The following is a 16,698-nucleotide window of genomic DNA, read 5'->3' on the forward strand; positions in this document are numbered from 1 at the left end:
TGGCCTCCCAAAGTACTAAGATTACAGGCATGATCACCACGCCTAGCCTGAGACTAAGGTTCTATAGATATTGTTTGGCAAATGTTGATATACAGCTCCTTAGGATATGATTTTTCTCAGCTGATTAGATGTTTGCTATTCATTTTAACATTCAGTTGTTTTCTTCTTTTATCTTTACCAGATGGGAACAGATAGCCAAAACCAGATTCTTTTGGAACATGCTGCACTGAGAGAAACAGTTAATGCTTTGATCAGTGACCAAAAGCTACAAGAGATATTCAGCCGAGGTAAGAACGGATAGTCTTCTGTCCCTGAACTCTGATTCAGGTGAATGATCACTGTTGAGTGATAGTATGGAATCCCATGCAACCTTAAACATTTGTACTTATCTCCTTTTTGTGGGCAGAGTCAGATGCCACATGAAAGATAATAATTATTATTTATTAAAAAATAAAAATAAAGAGTATCTTCAGTTAGCTGGATCTCTAAAATAGAGATCTCATTCTCTCTCCATCACTCACTCGTCTTATGGAGGTGTCTGTAACAGAGGTGAGACTGTGTTATTCTGTCTAAGGTCCATCCATCCCCTTAAAGATGCTCTTAGAACAAAAACAGGATCTCATTCAGACCAATGTTTCTGGTTCATTCTGCATTTCATAATATACAGTTTTATTGTGAGTTGAGTTTTAGTTTTTTTTATTTCTTAAATATTGCCATGTACTAGACAGTGTTAAGGCATTGGGGATATAGCAATTAATTAGAAAATCTTTGCTTTTTTAACTTAAAATCTGCAAGTTTCTTAAGAACTAAAAACTTAACACCAACAAATAACACCTTGGAGTGCAAGGTATAAAGTAATGTGTTCACAGACTCATTCACATTAAAAGCTTGTTGTTTTTAATAATGAAAAAAATTATTAGCTTTCAAGTTCAGATACAAGTTTTGCCCAAGATTCTACACAAAAGGTAAACTATTGGCTTCATTTATGTCGTACATTCACTCCCCTTCCTTTCTTGATCTCATGATAATCATTATTTTCAGGGAAATAGTTTCCTTGTTTCTCTTTTGTCAAAATAAACCTAAACAGGTAAAGGTAGAAAAACTGACCTATTGGGGAAGGAAGGTGTCAGGATAAAATGATGTTAAATAATCAAGGAAAGATACGGCAGAAGAAAGAATATGAGGAAAATTGGTAGCAGAAAAGAAAATTGAGTGGACAGGAGAGGTAGGGAGATACATATATATATAGATTATATATATCATGATATATATATATAGATATATATAGATATAATGTATAGAAAAGTTACGGAAGCTTAATTTTAGCTCTGATAGAGAATAATCTAAAATTGGTAATGATTTAGCTATATAGTCTCAAATGTACAAGGATATGTGGGAGAGAGAAACTGTCCTTAGAGGATAGCTTAAATTGCAGGGTAACATTACCTGCTGATAAAGTAATATATTTGAAACTCTGCGTTCCTAGGAAGACAGGTGCTATATTTATATTTGTTCAGCCTATTATTAGTGCAGAAGGCTGGAAACTTCATAAATTGAACTCTTCACCCACTGTTATTGAAAGTCAGATACCAGAATGTAAATGGTCATATATAAACATAACATAACATAACAGCACTTTCAACTTAGTGGCCTCCCACTTTTTTCATGTACATGTAGTTAGATACATGTCAGGTATCTACCTACATTTTCATACTACTGTAGTTTTTTATTTGGAAGTTTCCTTTCCCTTCCTATAATACTTGCAGAACTGGAAGATTGAGGCAAGGGGGAGTTGGAGGGCTGGGAAATTCTAAGGAATTTCCAAATAAATGAAGAATTTACAAAGACCACTGGAAGAAACCATTCAGGTTTTGTTTTTAAATTGCTCAGTATGGTAAATCTGGAATTGCTCATTTGTTCAGTTCTATAAAAGAGGACCAAAAGTGCCAAATATTTACATTATCTAATTTTCCTTTGGCTTTTAGGAACAATTATGAAATATAGCTTAGCCAAAAATACTCAATACTGACTGATCTCCCTTTTAGGTCCCTACAGTGTTCAAGGTCACAGGGTCAAAATATATCAGCCAGAGGGGGAAGAAGGGTGGCTCTATGGTGTTGTGAGCCATCAGGACTCCATCACTCGTCTTATGGAGGTGTCTGTAACTGAGGTGAGACTCTGTGTTATTCTGTCTAAGGTCCATCCATCCCCTTAAAGAGGATGGTTTAGATAGGCGAGCACTTCATTATGTGTAAGATGACTTGGGTTTCATCCCTGGCTCTATTACTTAATAGTTGTATAACCCCTAGAAAGGCTATTGAATTTTCTTAACTTCACTGTTCTCATCTATAAACTAGAAGTAAATATGTAAACCCCCACTGACCTTACAACACTGTTTTGGGTCCTGAGATAAAGTATCTGAAAGTGCTTTGAAATCTGTAAAACAATATATAAATGTATGACAGTAGTAGTATTATATTCATAAAGGTTAGTAGTTGGAGTGCAGTGGTGCGATCACAGCTCACTGCAACATTTGCCTCTCGGGCTCAAGCAGTTCTCCCACCTCACCCTCTGGAGTAGCTGGCACTACAGGCGTGTGCCACCACACCTAGCTAATTTTTCTATTTTTTGTAGAGAAGGAGTCTTGCTATGTTGCCTGGCTGGTCTCAAACTCCTGAGCTCAAGTGATCCGCCCACCTCAGCCTCCCAAAGTGTTGGGATTACAGGCATGAACCACTGCACCCGGCCAGAATATTATTATATTATATTTATTTATATGATATATATGAGTTATATGATATATAATTTATATGATATATATAATTTATATGCTCTATAATTATATAAGTCACACTTTAGTAACAAATAAGATCATATAGTACATATAGTTATATAATTTACCTTTTTTACTTAATTGTATATAGTGAGCATTTTTGTATGTAAATGTAAAGATCTGTCTCATCCTTTAAAATAGATGCGTTCTTTTCCACTACATGGATATATCATGACTAATCTAAAATTGATAGACATTTAAATCATTGCCAATATTTTCACTAATATGTCACAGTGAACATCCTTGAACATTTTTTACATTATTTATTGGAATAAATTTATATGTATAATTGCTAGGTCAAAGAATATGCACAATAAATTTGAAATTTTCTATCAAATTGCCCCCCACTGAGTTTTTATTCTTTAATAGTAGAATGATTCTTTTTTAAACAGAGTCTCACTGTGTTGCCCAGGCTGGTCTCGAACTCCTGGTCCTCCTGCCTCAGCCTCCCAAAGTGCTGGGGTTACAGGCATGATCCACCATGCCCAGCCTGGAGTGATTTTTTTTTTTTTTTCTTTTTGAGACAGAGATTTGCTTTTGTTGCCCAAGCTGGAGTGCAATGGCACGATCTCGGCTCACTGCAACCTCCGCCTCCCAGGTTCAAGCAATTCTCCTGCCTCAGCCTCCTGATTCGCTGAGATTACAGACACGCCACCACACCCAGCTAATTTTTTGTATTTTTAGTAGAAACAGGGTTTCACCATGTTGGCCAGGCTGGTCTTGAACTGCTGACCTCAGGTGATCCACCCACCTTGGCCTCCCAAAATGCTGAGATTACAGATGTGAACCACCGCACCCAGCCCTAGAGTGATTCTTTTAATGATTATTGGTTCTGAAGGTTTTTTGTTTCATACTATACAGAATAGGACAGTTTTAGAGATACAGGATTCAGAATTAACATCGCTAAAAGACACAGTTGGACATGAATTCACTTCTTTCATTCATTCACTTAAATATTTGAATGCTTACCATATTCTAGACCTGTTGTAGCAGTAAATGAGACAGTAGAGATCTCTGCTCTCATGGAGCTTTCATTCTAGTAGGTGAGTTGAATCAATAAAGAGATAATTACATTGATTAGGAAATTATATAATTATGTCTTTATGGACAAGGCATTAAATATCTTTTTCCCCTCCTACTGTAGAGTGGTGAGATCAAGTCGGTAGATCCCAGACTAATCCATGTGATGCTGATGGATAATTCAGCGCCTCAAAGCGAGGTACAGTAATGGACTGCATTCCTGAGCAGACTCATGAGCTTGCATTATCTTGCTGTGTGTAGATCCCTTATATATGTGTTTTCCATGGATGCCTTTTGAGTTGTTCAGCTTTAGCCACTGTACATTTTTTTGCTCTCTCCACAGTCTGTCTAATTAAGGGGGGATATTCTCAAGAAAGAGACCTAGTTTGAGCAAACCCTTTTAAGCATGACTATGTTCCCTAGTTCTTCTAAAGTGCAAGGCTGGTTTCTTCCTATATTCTGTCAGGACAGGTATATTTGAAAGATATAGTAGTCAGTTAAAAGTGCAATAAGCAGTAGTAATACTCGTGATCTACCAAGTAACAAGAAGTGAAGGATAAACTACGTCCACTTTTTTTTTTTTTCCATTCGGTGGCAGTGAGCTCCAACGGAGTCTGAAATTCTGTATTCCCAAGTAGAATCAATTCAAGCTGGTACCTAGTTCAGTGCTCAGCCCCCAGTGCATTGGTTACTCCATAATTGTTATGAACCAGCCCAACTCTTGGTTTATTCAGAATTAATATAGCCCCAAAAAAGATACATTAAAGCTCTCTGGGCCAGGTGCAGTGGCTCACGCCTGTAATCCCAGCACTTTGGGAGGCCGAGGCAGGCGGATCACCTGAGGTCAGGAATTCAAGACCAGCCTGACCAACGTGGTGAAACGCTGTCTCTACAAAAATACAAAAAAAAAAATAGCCAGGCCTGATGGTGGGTGCCTGTAATCCCAGCTACTCGGGAGGCCGAGGTGGGAGAATCGCTAGAACCTGGGACGTGGAGGTTGCAATGAGCTGAGATCGCACCATTGCACTCCAGCCTGGGTGATAGAGCAAGACTCCGTCTCAAAAAAAAAAGTAAATAAATAAAAATCTCTGCCTGAACCAATCGAGTAATTCTGTGTGAATTTCCTTCAGTTGACCAGCTGTCCACATATTCCTCACAGTATCTTGGCACCTCTGTAATATTGCTGTCGTTGCCACTCCTGCTAAGTATATAGTCTTTCCTCATCTTTATCCAGTCATTCTTGACTTCCTAAAACAAGATCAGAATAGGAAAAGAAAAAAAATTTTTTTTTTTTGAGGCAGGGTCTCGCTATCTTGCCCAGTCTGGTCTCAAACTCTCACCTAAGCCTCCCAAAGTGCTGGGATGACAGGCATGAGCCACTGCACCTGGCCAGGGTTAAATTTAAGAACTGTTTACTACATGTAATATTACCACAAACAGGGTAAGTCTCTTGACTGTGTTTGCATGCCAAAAACACCTGCTACTTTGATCGTGTATTGGTCCCCTTTTTTGTTCCTTTCCTTATTTCATTCCTTCATTAAGCATATATTGTATGCCAGGTACTGTTCAGCTGGCCAAATAGAACTGGGGAGTACTGGTCTCAATGTTGTAGGCTGCTTACTCACGTATGAGTAGCTCACTGTAAGTAGGACTTACATATAAGTTGTTTAGGGACTGGTAGTATGTTGCTGTGAGCCAGGCTCTGCAAGTTGGCTGGATGACTTATAGGTGGGATGTTTGTTTTTGTTTTTTTCTTTTTTTTTTTGAGATGGAGTCTTGCTCTGTCACCCATGCTGGAGTGCAGTGGGGTGATCTTGGCTCACTGCAACCTCCGCCTCCCGGGTTCAAGTGATTCTTCTGTCTCAGCCTCCTGAGTAGCTGGGACTACAGGCGCACACCACCATGCCCAGCTAATTTTTGTATTTTTAGTAGAGACAGGGTTTCACCATATTGACCAGGCTGGTGTCAAACTCCTGACCTCGTGATCCGCCCACCTTGGCCTCCCAAAGTTCTGGGTTTACAGGCGCGAACGAACCACCACGCCTGGTGATCTTTGGTTTTTAGCAGCAGATGTTGGGTCTTCCTTTTTTGGTATTAACATGATATTACTGTTTTCTTTGCTAGCAGAGTCCAATTATTTTTTATAGTTCTGCCAAGTTTTATAGTAACCCTTTTTAGAGATCCATGATCACCTCATCTCCTTTAAGTATGGGTGAATGAACAAGAAAGAACAGAGTTCACTGATTGTGATCTGCAACAGTGAAAACTGGGTGGTGATAGAGATTGAGAAAGAATTTAAAAGCTTTTAAAAATCAAAAGAGGCCGAGGCAGGTGGATCACCTGAGGTCAGAGTTTGAGAACAGCCTGGCCAACATGATGAAACCCTGTCTCTACTAAAAAACACAAAAATTAGCTGGGCGTAGTGGCGGGCACCTGTAATCCCAGCTACTTGGGAGGCTGAGGCAAGAAAATCGCTTGAACACAGGAGGCGGAGGTTGCAGTGAGCTGAGATTGTGCTATTGCACTCCAGCCTGGGTGGCAAGAGCAAAACTCCGTCTCAAAAAAAAAGAAGAAAAAAATCAAGGCCAGGCGCGGTGGCTCACGCCTGTAATCCCAACACTTTGGGAGGCCGAGGCGGCTGGATCACGAGGTCAGGAGATCGAGACCATGGTGAAGCCCCATCTCTACTAAAAATACAAAAAAAATTAGCCGGGCGCGGTGGCGGGCACCTGTAGTCCCAGCTACTCTGGAGGCTGAGGTAGGAGAATGGCGTGAACCTGGGAGGTGGAGCTTGCAGTGAGCCGAGATCGTGCCACTGCACTCCAGCCTGGGTGACAGAGCAAGACTCCGACTTAAAAAAAAAAAAAAAAGTCAAAAGAAAACAACACTTAGCAAACAGATAAAGTTCTTGAATGAAAGGTTTAGAGGCTGGGCGTGGTGGCTCATACCTGTAATCCCAGCACTTTGGGAGGCCGAGGTGGGCAGATCACCTGAGGTCCGGAGTTCGAGACCAGCCTGGCCAACATGGCGAAACCTCATCTCTACTAAAAAAATACAAAAATTAGGCCAGGTGCAGTGGCTCACACTTGTAATTCCAGCACTTTGGGAGGCTGAGGTGGGTAGATTACCTGAGGTCAGGAGTTCAAGACCAACCTGGCCAGCATGGTGAAACCCTGTCTCTACTAAAAATACAAAAAATTAGCTGGGCATGGTGGCAGGCGCCTGTAGTCCCAGCTACTTGGGAGGCTGAGGCAGGAGATTCGCTTGAGCCTAGGAGGCGGAGGTTGTCATGAGCTGAAATCACACCATCGCACTCCAGCCTGCACGACAAGAGCGAAACTCTTGTCTCAAAAAAAAAAAAAAAAAAAAAAAATTAGCCGGATGTGGTGGCACACACCTGTAGTCCCAGCTCCTGGGGAGGCTGAGGCAAGACAGTCACTTGAACCCGTTAGGTGGAGGTTGCAGTGAGCCAAGATTGTGCCACTGCACTCCAGCCTGGGCAACAGAGCAAGACTCCATCTCAGGAAAAAAAAAAAAAAGGAAAGAAAGGTTTAGAAACTTAGATAATATTACCAAAAGTATAGGCAAACAAAAGTTAATCTTGAGCTTTGCATAACAGTTTTTTGTTTTGTTTTGTTTTGTTTTTTGATAAGGAGTTTCCCTCTTGTTGCCCAGGCTGGAGTGCAGTGGCGCAATCTCGGCTCACTGCAACCTTCCCCTCCCGGGTTCAAGTGATTCTCCTGCATCAGCCTCCCCAATAGCTGGGATTACAGAAATGCACCACCATGCCTGGCTGATTTTGTATTTTTAGTAGAGACAGGGTTTCACCATGTTGCCCAGGCTGGTCTCAAACTCCTGACCTCAGGTAGATCCACCCACCTCAGCCTCCCAAAGTGTTGGGATTACAGGCATGAGCCAACACGCCAGGCCTCCTGGGTTCAAGCGATTCCCTTGCCTCAGCCTCCCAAGTTGCTGGGACTACAGGCATACGCCACCACACCCAGCTAATTTTTTATATTTTAGTAGAGATGGGGTTTCACCATGTTGGCCAGGATGGTCTCAATCTCCTGACCTTGTGATCTGCCCGCCTTGGCCTCCCAAACTGCTGGGATTACAGGCGTGAGCCACTGTGCCCAGCCCAGGTTCACTTTTCCTTTGGTCACAGACTCACAAACGTTGGTTTAGTGACTTCTGGTTAGAGAAGATGTCCTATTTCAGTACTTAAAATGCAAGTTTCTTTCAAGCAAGGAGGTAAATATGTAATAAAGTGAGTTATTTCATCAAGGGGTAAATGAGCTCCCACCCTAGCTTTAGCACTCTATTTTGTAAAAGAAACTCAACAAATTGTTAAAACCCTCAAAGAAGTCCATTTAAGGCAGTGTAATGTTTTATTTAAGAGAAAGTTTGCCAAGTGAGTTAACCTCTAGTAACTATTATCTTGAATGTGTGTGTATAAATTGAGTCACACAAAGATTAGAGCTTTTAACAAAGGGGATGTTTTAGAACTGGCATTGGAACTTGGCAGTCTATGCCTGCTTTGTCTGCTTCTAGAGATGGGAAAGAGCTAATGGTGTGTGGTATTCACAGGATGAAAGTTTCCTTGTAATCTTTTTTGAATTTTGTTTTGTAGGGGGGTACGTTAAAAGCAGTAAAATCTTCCAAAGGAAAGAAGAAGAGAGAAAGCATAGAGGGGAAAGATGGCCGGAGGAGGAAAAGTGCTTCGGACTCTGGGTGTGACCCTGCATCAAAGAAATTAAAAGGAGACAGGGGTGAAGTAGACAGTAATGGGAGCGATGGAGGTGAGGCAAGCCGAGGGCCCTGGAAAGGAGGGAATGCCAGTGGAGAGCCAGGGCTGGATCAGAGAGCCAAGCAGCCACCGTCTACATTTGTCCCCCAGATAAACCGCAACATTCGCTTTGCCACTTACACCAAAGAAAACGGCAGGACTCTGGTGGTGCAGGATGAGCCTGTAGGTGGGGACACACCTGCATCTTTCACTCCATATTCTACAGCCACAGGTCAGACACCTTTGGCCCCAGAGGTGGGTGGAGCCGAAAACAAAGAGGCAGGAAAAACACTGGAACAAGTTGGCCAGGGCATAGTGGCTTCCGCAGCTGTGGTCACTACCGCCAGCTCCACCCCAAACACAGTGAGGATCTCAGACACTGGCCTTGCAGCAGGGACTGTGCCAGAAAAACAGAAAGGCAGCCGGTCGCAGGCCTCGGGAGAGGTGAGTTACTTCAGGGGCAGATTTGCAAGATTTGGGTTTACTCTTTCGCCCTCCTTTATTGCTAACATTAAAAAACATTCAAGTGCCCCAGGGAAGGAGTATTTCTGAGATGTGCTTAAATTATACTCTGTGGAAGGCCTTTACTGCTCACTGGGCAAATGTGTATAGTTTAATAACTTTATCAGCTCTTAAAAGGCACCAGAACAGTTGGGTGAATCAAAAACTGATGATACAACCTAATTTAAAGACATGTTAAAGTAGATCTGGTGGGGAATGTTTTAAATTCTATTATCTATTTAGTTCACGTAGTGATCAAGCCTCTGCTAGGCCTATAAGAGGTGAGGTTAATGAATTACAGTATTGGTAATAGTGAATACTATAATTAAGGCTATGTGTGCAAGCTACCATTACCCTGTTTTCAATTCATCATTTTCTATGATATTTTCCCTTGAGGCTGAGTTAATTTCCATCATTTGATATGGCCATGGAAGGTTTTTTCTCCCTATCTTCACCTTTTTAAGCCTTACCTGAAAATTTGATGGATTTCATCACAACAGTATCTGATTTCCTTTGTTCTTTATCTGATATGCATATATTGTTGCTAAAATGGAACCTCTGTTAAATGTAAGTTAACATCAAGTTGTCTCCCTAATCCAAAATATCAAAATCAGTATAATATATTCTTTTTGACTAATTTTGGTCACCAAAATATGATTTATGGTGCTAGTCATCTTTTTTTTCCCCAAACAGCTATTAACTCAAGCTAAAATATGAAATACAGAGATGAAATGCTTAATGATTTTTAAAAATTATATATAGGAAACTACTGTGTGCTGAGTACTGTATATTATATATAAGGAATTGAAACTCCTATTTGAAGGAGCTCACATCCTAAAACGGAATCATTTCAGAAAAAACAATGCCAGACAAAACATGACAAACGTGACTTCTTTCCCTCCCCAACAAGTGCAGATTGTTAATCCCTAGTGTGCAGGGATAGGGAGGGAGAGGAAATGTCCACACAGACGAGGAGAAGGCCTGTAAATGCAAATTTCACACTGTTGATGGTTTGTCCTGTTGGTTGACCAGCATTCCCAAGATAACCAGGTGAGGATCTTATATGGATTTCCAGTGTAAATCATCATAGTGTCTGAATTATTTAAAAACAACTCCATGTTGGCCAGGCACAGTAGCTCACACCTGTAATCCCAGCACTTTGGGAGGCCAAGGCGGGCGGATCACAAGGTCAGGAGATCAAGACCATCCTGGCTAACACGGTGAAACCCCATCTCTACTAAAAATACAAAAAATTAGCCGGGCGTGGCGGCGTGCACCTGTAGTCCCAGCTACTCGGGAGGCTGAGGCAGGAGGATGGCGTGAACCTGGGAGGTGGAGCTTGCAGTGAGCCGAGATTGTGCCACTGCACTCCAGCCTGGGCGACAGAGCAAGACTATGTCTCAAAAAAACAAAACAAAACAAAAACAACTCCATGTCAAAGGCAGTGTGAATGTAAATGGAGCTTACAAAATAGACCAGGTTTTACATGCTATAAAAGAGATCCATTGAATGCTGCTACTCTTAGAGTAGCAAAGCTGAATATATGAAATTCAGATTGAAAGAGTATTTTCTTTTAAACAGGTTGAGGGAATTTCTGTGACTATGACAGTCATGTTGCTGTGTTTCTGTTTGGTTCTTCTTCTAGGATATGATTTAAAAGTATAGAAATGAGCCAGGCATAGTACAGCTCATGCCTGTAATCCTAGCACTTTGGGAGGCCGAGGCGGGCGGATCACGAGGTCAGGAGATCGAGACCATCCTGGCTAACACGGTGAAACCCCGTCTCTACTAAAAATACAAAAAATTAGCTGGGCGTGGTGGCAAGCGCCTGTAGTCTCAGCTACTCGGGAGGCTGAGGCAGGAGAATGGCGTGAACCCGGGAGGCAGAGCTTGCAGTGAGCCAAGAGAGCCAAGATTGTGCCACTGCACTCCAGCCTGGGCAACAGAGCGAGACTCCGTCTTTAAAAAAAAAAAAAAAAAAAAAAAGGCTGGGCTTGGTGGCATGTGTCTGTAATCCTAGCTACCCAGGAGGCTGAGGCAGGAGAATCACTTGAACCTGGGAGGCGGAGATTGCAGTGAGCCAAGATTGCGCCACTGCACTCCAGCTTGGGTGACAGAGCGAGACTCCGTCTCAAAAAATAAATAAATAAATGTGTAGAAATGAATGTTTTCATTACAATGGCTGATCTAAAATAAAGACAGAGCCAACAGGAAACTTCTTGCCCTAAAAACTGGCTTGACATGAGTTTCTCATCACCTTTTTATAAGAAAAGGATTTGGAATTTAATCATTTGAAGGAAAATGAAAGACTATCCAAATTATTTTTCATTCATGTGTGTATTTATTTTTAAAGGGTAACTTTAGGAGTGAAACATGAGCTACCCATGCTAGTTCCTTGCAGTCATGCAGGTATCAAGGCTCCTGGCCAAATCCTGCCTGTGAAGCAACAGCAGCACCTCAGGGCTGTGTCTGTTCTTTTTCTCTATTGTAGGGAGTAAGTTGAAGTCAATACTTACTGGTTAGTAGGAAGATAAAAGAAAAAAGAAAAGGAGTTTTATTTTTTAACTCTAAAATACCCTGAAGTAGTCTCTGTAGCAGAGACAGAGGCAAGCCTAGGTGGCCTGCTTGATTCGTACGTCTCTATGCTACTCCTCAAGGAAATCCTGAATGTTAACTCCTCTTGTGTATTTAAAGAATAGTTTAATTAAAACTCTCTCCCCTCTTTATAAGAGAATAGCCCTTTTGTTTATCGGGAATCACTTTTTTTTTAATTGTAGTAAAATACACATAATGTAAAACTTACGACTTTAAAATGTACAATTCTGTGGCATTTAGTACATTTACAGTGTTGCGAAACTATGAAGACTATCTAGATCCAGAAATTTCATCACCCCAAAAGGAAAACTCCATATCCATTAAGTGGTGATGGAATAATTTTTATTTCCAGTGTTTTAGAGTGAATATTAAGGTATATCATCCTCTACTACTTGAAAGTAATCTATGGTTAGCAAGTCAAGTACTAGGATCTGGGTTTTATTAAATTAATAAATATAAGTTTGGGCTCATACCTACCTATGGGTCTCTTCTCTCTCTCTCTCTCTCTCTGTGTGTGTGTGTGTGTGTGTGTGTGTGTGTCCCTTTCTCTTGTCTGTATCTGGGTACATTAATATATAGGAAAGTCCTTCCTTTTTTTTGTTTTTGTGAGGGAATCTTGCTCTGTTGCCAGGCTGGAGTGCAGTGGCACGATCTGGGCTCACTGCAACCTCCGCCTCCTGGGTTCAAGCAATTCTCCTGCCTCAGCCTTCCGAGTAGCTGGGACTACAGGCACGTGCCACCATGCCCGGCTCATTTTTTGTATTTTTAGTAGAGACAGGGTTTCACCGTGTTGGCCAGGATGGTCTTGACCTCCAGACCTCGTGATCCGCCCATGTCAGCCTCCCAAAGTACTGGGATTACAGGCATGAGCCACCGCGCCAGGCCCCATTCTTCTTTATACAGTCATTCACAAGCAGAAGTTAACATTTTGAAGGTAAAAGAAGGAAAGGGGAGTGTTCTGTTATTTCATTCTTCAGTTATGCTGAAGGCTTTTTTTGGGATATTGTCAGTATATACATTTATCCTCTTTGGATTCTTATTAGATTCTAATTATAACAAAGGTCTTGGTAAATAGCTTGCTTTCTTTAATTTAGCATCTTTACGTCTAACGTTAATTGAAGTAGATATTCAACTTGTAGGTTGACTTGAACCCATAAATAGATGCCGAAATCCAAAAGGGTCCATGTTGTGGACTTTCAGATTAATAAGGAAAACACTTTTCTTTAACGTGCAGTAGGCTTGTCCTAGGATTAAAGCCACTTTTTGTAAAATGGGCAATTTTACAGTAGCCTAAATAAATCAAAACTTTAACAATAGCTCCCAAGGTCATTGAGATATATTAATATTACAGGGGTCACTGTAAAAGCTGATGTCTATTCAGGAACCCTTTTCTCCAGTTCCTTAGAGGAGCTCTTCACTTCCAAATAGATACCAAAAAGCCTACAAGGCCTTCTAGCACTGTGACGACCAATTGGATAACAACCAAGGGAATTGCAGGATGAATGACATCCTGCTATCTCTGGTTCACCTTGCTAAAGATGCCCTCAGTGTAGTCTGTGGCAGATTTCTTCCCCACTGCTGGTGAACTCCAGTTACAAGAGCAGATCCATGGAATTGTAAAAGAGAAAAGTTGATGGACCCCCAAGAAATGTTGATCTGGTGATAGTGAGGTCCAAGAAAGAGATCATTAGATTGTCATGAGAAGCCAGCATCACTAATTCAGGCTATCTTCCTTTCAGAATTCAAGAAATTCTATTCTGGCCTCTTCTGGATTTGGAGCACCTCTCCCTAGTTCATCGCAACCTTTGACTTTTGGAAGTGGAAGGAGCCAGTCCAATGGTGTTCTAGCCACAGAGAACAAACCTTTGGGCTTCTCTTTTGGCTGTAGCTCTGCACAAGAGGCACAGAAAGACACTGATCTCTCCAAAAACTTGTTTTTTCAATGCATGTCCCAAACTTTACCTACCAGTAACTACTTCACTACTGTTTCAGAGAGTTTGGCTGATGATTCTTCTAGTCGGGACTCATTCAAACAAAGCCTTGAGAGCCTGAGCTCAGGCCTGTGTAAAGGCAGATCCGTTCTTGGAACAGACACTAAGCCAGGCTCTAAGGCTGGCAGCTCTGTGGACCGGAAAGTGCCTGCAGAGTCCATGCCCACCCTCACTCCAGCCTTCCCACGGAGCCTCCTAAATGCCCGTACCCCAGAGAATCATGAAAATCTATTTTTACAGCCCCCCAAATTGTCCCGAGAAGAGCCTTCTAATCCTTTCCTGGCATTTGTGGAGAAAGTTGAACACAGCCCTTTCAGTAGTTTTGCATCTCAGGCATCAGGTAGCTCCTCTTCTGCTACCACTGTCACCTCCAAGGTGGCACCCAGCTGGCCCGAGTCTCACTCCTCTGCAGATTCGGCATCTTTAGCAAAGAAGAAACCCCTCTTCATTACAACTGACTCCTCCAAGCTAGTATCTGGTGTTCTGGGCTCAGCTCTTACCAGTGGGGGCCCAAGCCTCTCTGCCATGGGGAATGGCCGCTCCAGCTCGCCCACCAGCAGCCTCACTCAGCCCATTGAGATGCCAACTCTCTCCTCTAGCCCCACAGAGGAGAGGCCAACTGTGGGGCCTGGGCAGCAGGACAATCCCCTCCTCAAAACCTTTAGTAACGTCTTTGGCAGGCACTCAGGCGGCTTTCTGTCCTCCCCGGCAGATTTTTCACAGGAGAACAAAGCTCCTTTTGAAGCTGTGAAAAGGTTCTCACTGGATGAACGAAGCTTGGCTTGCAGACAAGACTCGGACTCCAGCACCAACAGTGACCTGTCAGATTTGAGTGACTCTGAGGAGCAGCTGCAGGCTAAGACAGGCCTGAAGGGAATTCCAGAGCACCTGATGGGGAAGCTGGGCCCCAATGGGGAGCGCAGTGCTGAGCTGTTGCTGGGCAAAAGCAAAGGGAAGCAGGCCCCCAAGGGCCGGCCTCGGACTGCCCCCCTGAAAGGTGATCCTGCTGGGGCTATATTTGGGCTTTGCTCTGGCACTGGGCTCAAATGCCTGTCGTGTTCTTGTGCAGCAGAGGCACTCACTTTGATGGAGAGTTCTGTAATCTCATAGAATTACAGAGCCAAGAGGACCTGGCAGAGGCCCCTCGTCAGGCCTGGTTCAGGGCAGGATTGCATCTAAACCGGCACTGTAGGAGGAGTATCTGTCCCAAATAATGATAATCCCCCAAAGGAGGACTCTTGATCTTCCTTGGCGGTCAGTTATTTTTGGTCAGGAACTATTTCTTTGCATTTGTCTCATCCCTTTTTACTTCACTTTGGCCCATCCTCTTTACTTCAGAGGGGTTACTGGGAACTGGTATCCATTCCCACATAGCAGACATTTGTAGACTTGATGAAGCAGAGAGAATCACCCCTCAGTTTGCTCCTCTCTGAAACCTACATAAGGATTTTAACAGCTCTATCAAAATCCATTAACTTGTGTGGTGTGAGGTTATGGTCCAGAAGCGGGTAAAACAAAGTCTCATGGTAAAAGCAGCTGTTCTCAATAGGAATTGCTATGTTGTGGGAGCTCAAGAGGTCCTGATGAACAGAATAGCCATATCGTGAGAGACTAGAGGCAGGTGATGGCTACATTCTGGCTTCTTATGTTTTTCACATCCATATTCAAAGTTGTTTTGCCATAGTGGGGCACTTCCCACAAGTTCTGCATGGTTCTTAGCTCCCAATGGAAGCTTCTTTGCTCCTTGCTTTCCCTTCCTGTCAAGGATGGACATAATGGGTACATGCCCAAGCAGGGAAAGGAGTAGCAACCCAGGTCAGAACAAATGTCTGTCCCCAAAAGAATCATGCTATTGGTTCCTGTTTACACCTCATGACAAACTTTTCTTCTCTCCCCCTTGCCACAGTTGGCCAGTCAGTGCTGAAAGATGTAAGCAAAGTGAAGAAGCTGAAGCAATCTGGAGAGCCCTTCCTGCAGGATGGGTCATGCATCAATGTGGCACCTCATCTGCACAAGTGTCGTGAATGCCGCCTGGAGCGGTACCGGAAGTTTAAGGAACAGGAGCAAGATGATTCTACTGTAGCCTGCCGTTTCTTTCACTTCCGGAGGTACCCAAACTCCTGTTTTCCTCCTTTGCTAGTTTTCATTAGTGACACATAACTTCCACTCTTTCTCTGAGTCTATAAACATGTTTCATCATCTTGGTCTTTGCTTTCCTCAACTCCTTTGCTCTCAGCGTCTGTGAAGAGGCTCTGGCATAGTAGTCACTTAGTTGTTTGGATTGTAAAATGACATGTGATTTTGTCCTTGGAGAATTAAAATTGAGCAGTGTTAGCTGCAGCTCTGTGCTATTCCCTGAGTAATTCCTAACTTGGGTTGGTTCTATTTGAAACCACTATTATAAGCAGAAGGACTGCATTTCATATTATGGATCTACCTGACTGCTTATTCCTCCTCAGTGCTAGAGTAACTTGAGTCATGTTAAAAAGACGGGGAGGTAAGATTTGGAGATAATGTGAAGCATCTTTGAAATAGATATAACTGATGGAAATGTGGGAATATCGTCTGCTTTTACCAAACAATATCTCTTTAGTTACTTTTCTTCTGCTTGATAAACTTAGAAGGGGAGTTTCTTCTGAGTGACCTTTCAAGAATCTTTAATTTTTAAAGTAAATCCAAATGGTTTACCAATATGGTGTGGATTCACTTAGCAAATGTTTATTGAGCATTTAATGTGTGCCAACCCTTGTTCTGGCCATTGAATATTCAGCAGTGAACAACAAAAAAATCAAATTTCAGCCCTCAGAAGGTTTGGGGAGGCAGACAGTAAATAAGGAAAAAAGGCCAAGCATGATTACATGCCTTTAACTCCAGCACTTTGGGAGGCCGAAGCAGAAGGATCACTTGAGACCAGCATGGGCAACATAGTGAGACCTAGTCTCTACAGAAAATTTTAAAAATTAGCCGAGTGT

The 16,698-nt window shown here is 42.4% G+C and overlaps 1 protein-coding gene across 6 annotated transcripts in view; it reads left to right on the forward strand.

The window, feature by feature from the left end:
• KDM3B (lysine demethylase 3B) overlaps window positions 1-16,698 on the forward strand; it is an 84,343-nt gene that overhangs the window by 24,854 nt on the left and 42,791 nt on the right. For 4 of the 6 annotated variants that reach the window (XM_047417313.1, NM_016604.4, XM_011543489.3 and 1 more), the window contains 6 exons: window positions 182-287; window positions 2,046-2,170; window positions 3,978-4,052; window positions 8,484-9,083; window positions 13,475-14,723; window positions 15,633-15,834. In XM_047417313.1, the coding sequence (XP_047273269.1) occupies window positions 182-287; window positions 2,046-2,170; window positions 3,978-4,052; window positions 8,484-9,083; window positions 13,475-14,723; window positions 15,633-15,834 (2,357 nt within the window). Of the gene's footprint in view, window positions 1-181; window positions 288-2,045; window positions 2,171-3,592; window positions 3,877-3,977; window positions 4,053-8,483; window positions 9,084-13,474; window positions 14,724-15,632; window positions 15,835-16,698 lie in introns of those variants that run through there. The other 2 variants (XM_005272018.5, XM_017009584.2) reach the window with 2 other exon arrangements.

This window comes from Homo sapiens, chromosome 5 (assembly GCF_000001405.40).
Source record: "Homo sapiens chromosome 5, GRCh38.p14 Primary Assembly".
Classification (NCBI taxonomy): domain Eukaryota; kingdom Metazoa; phylum Chordata; class Mammalia; order Primates; family Hominidae; genus Homo; species Homo sapiens.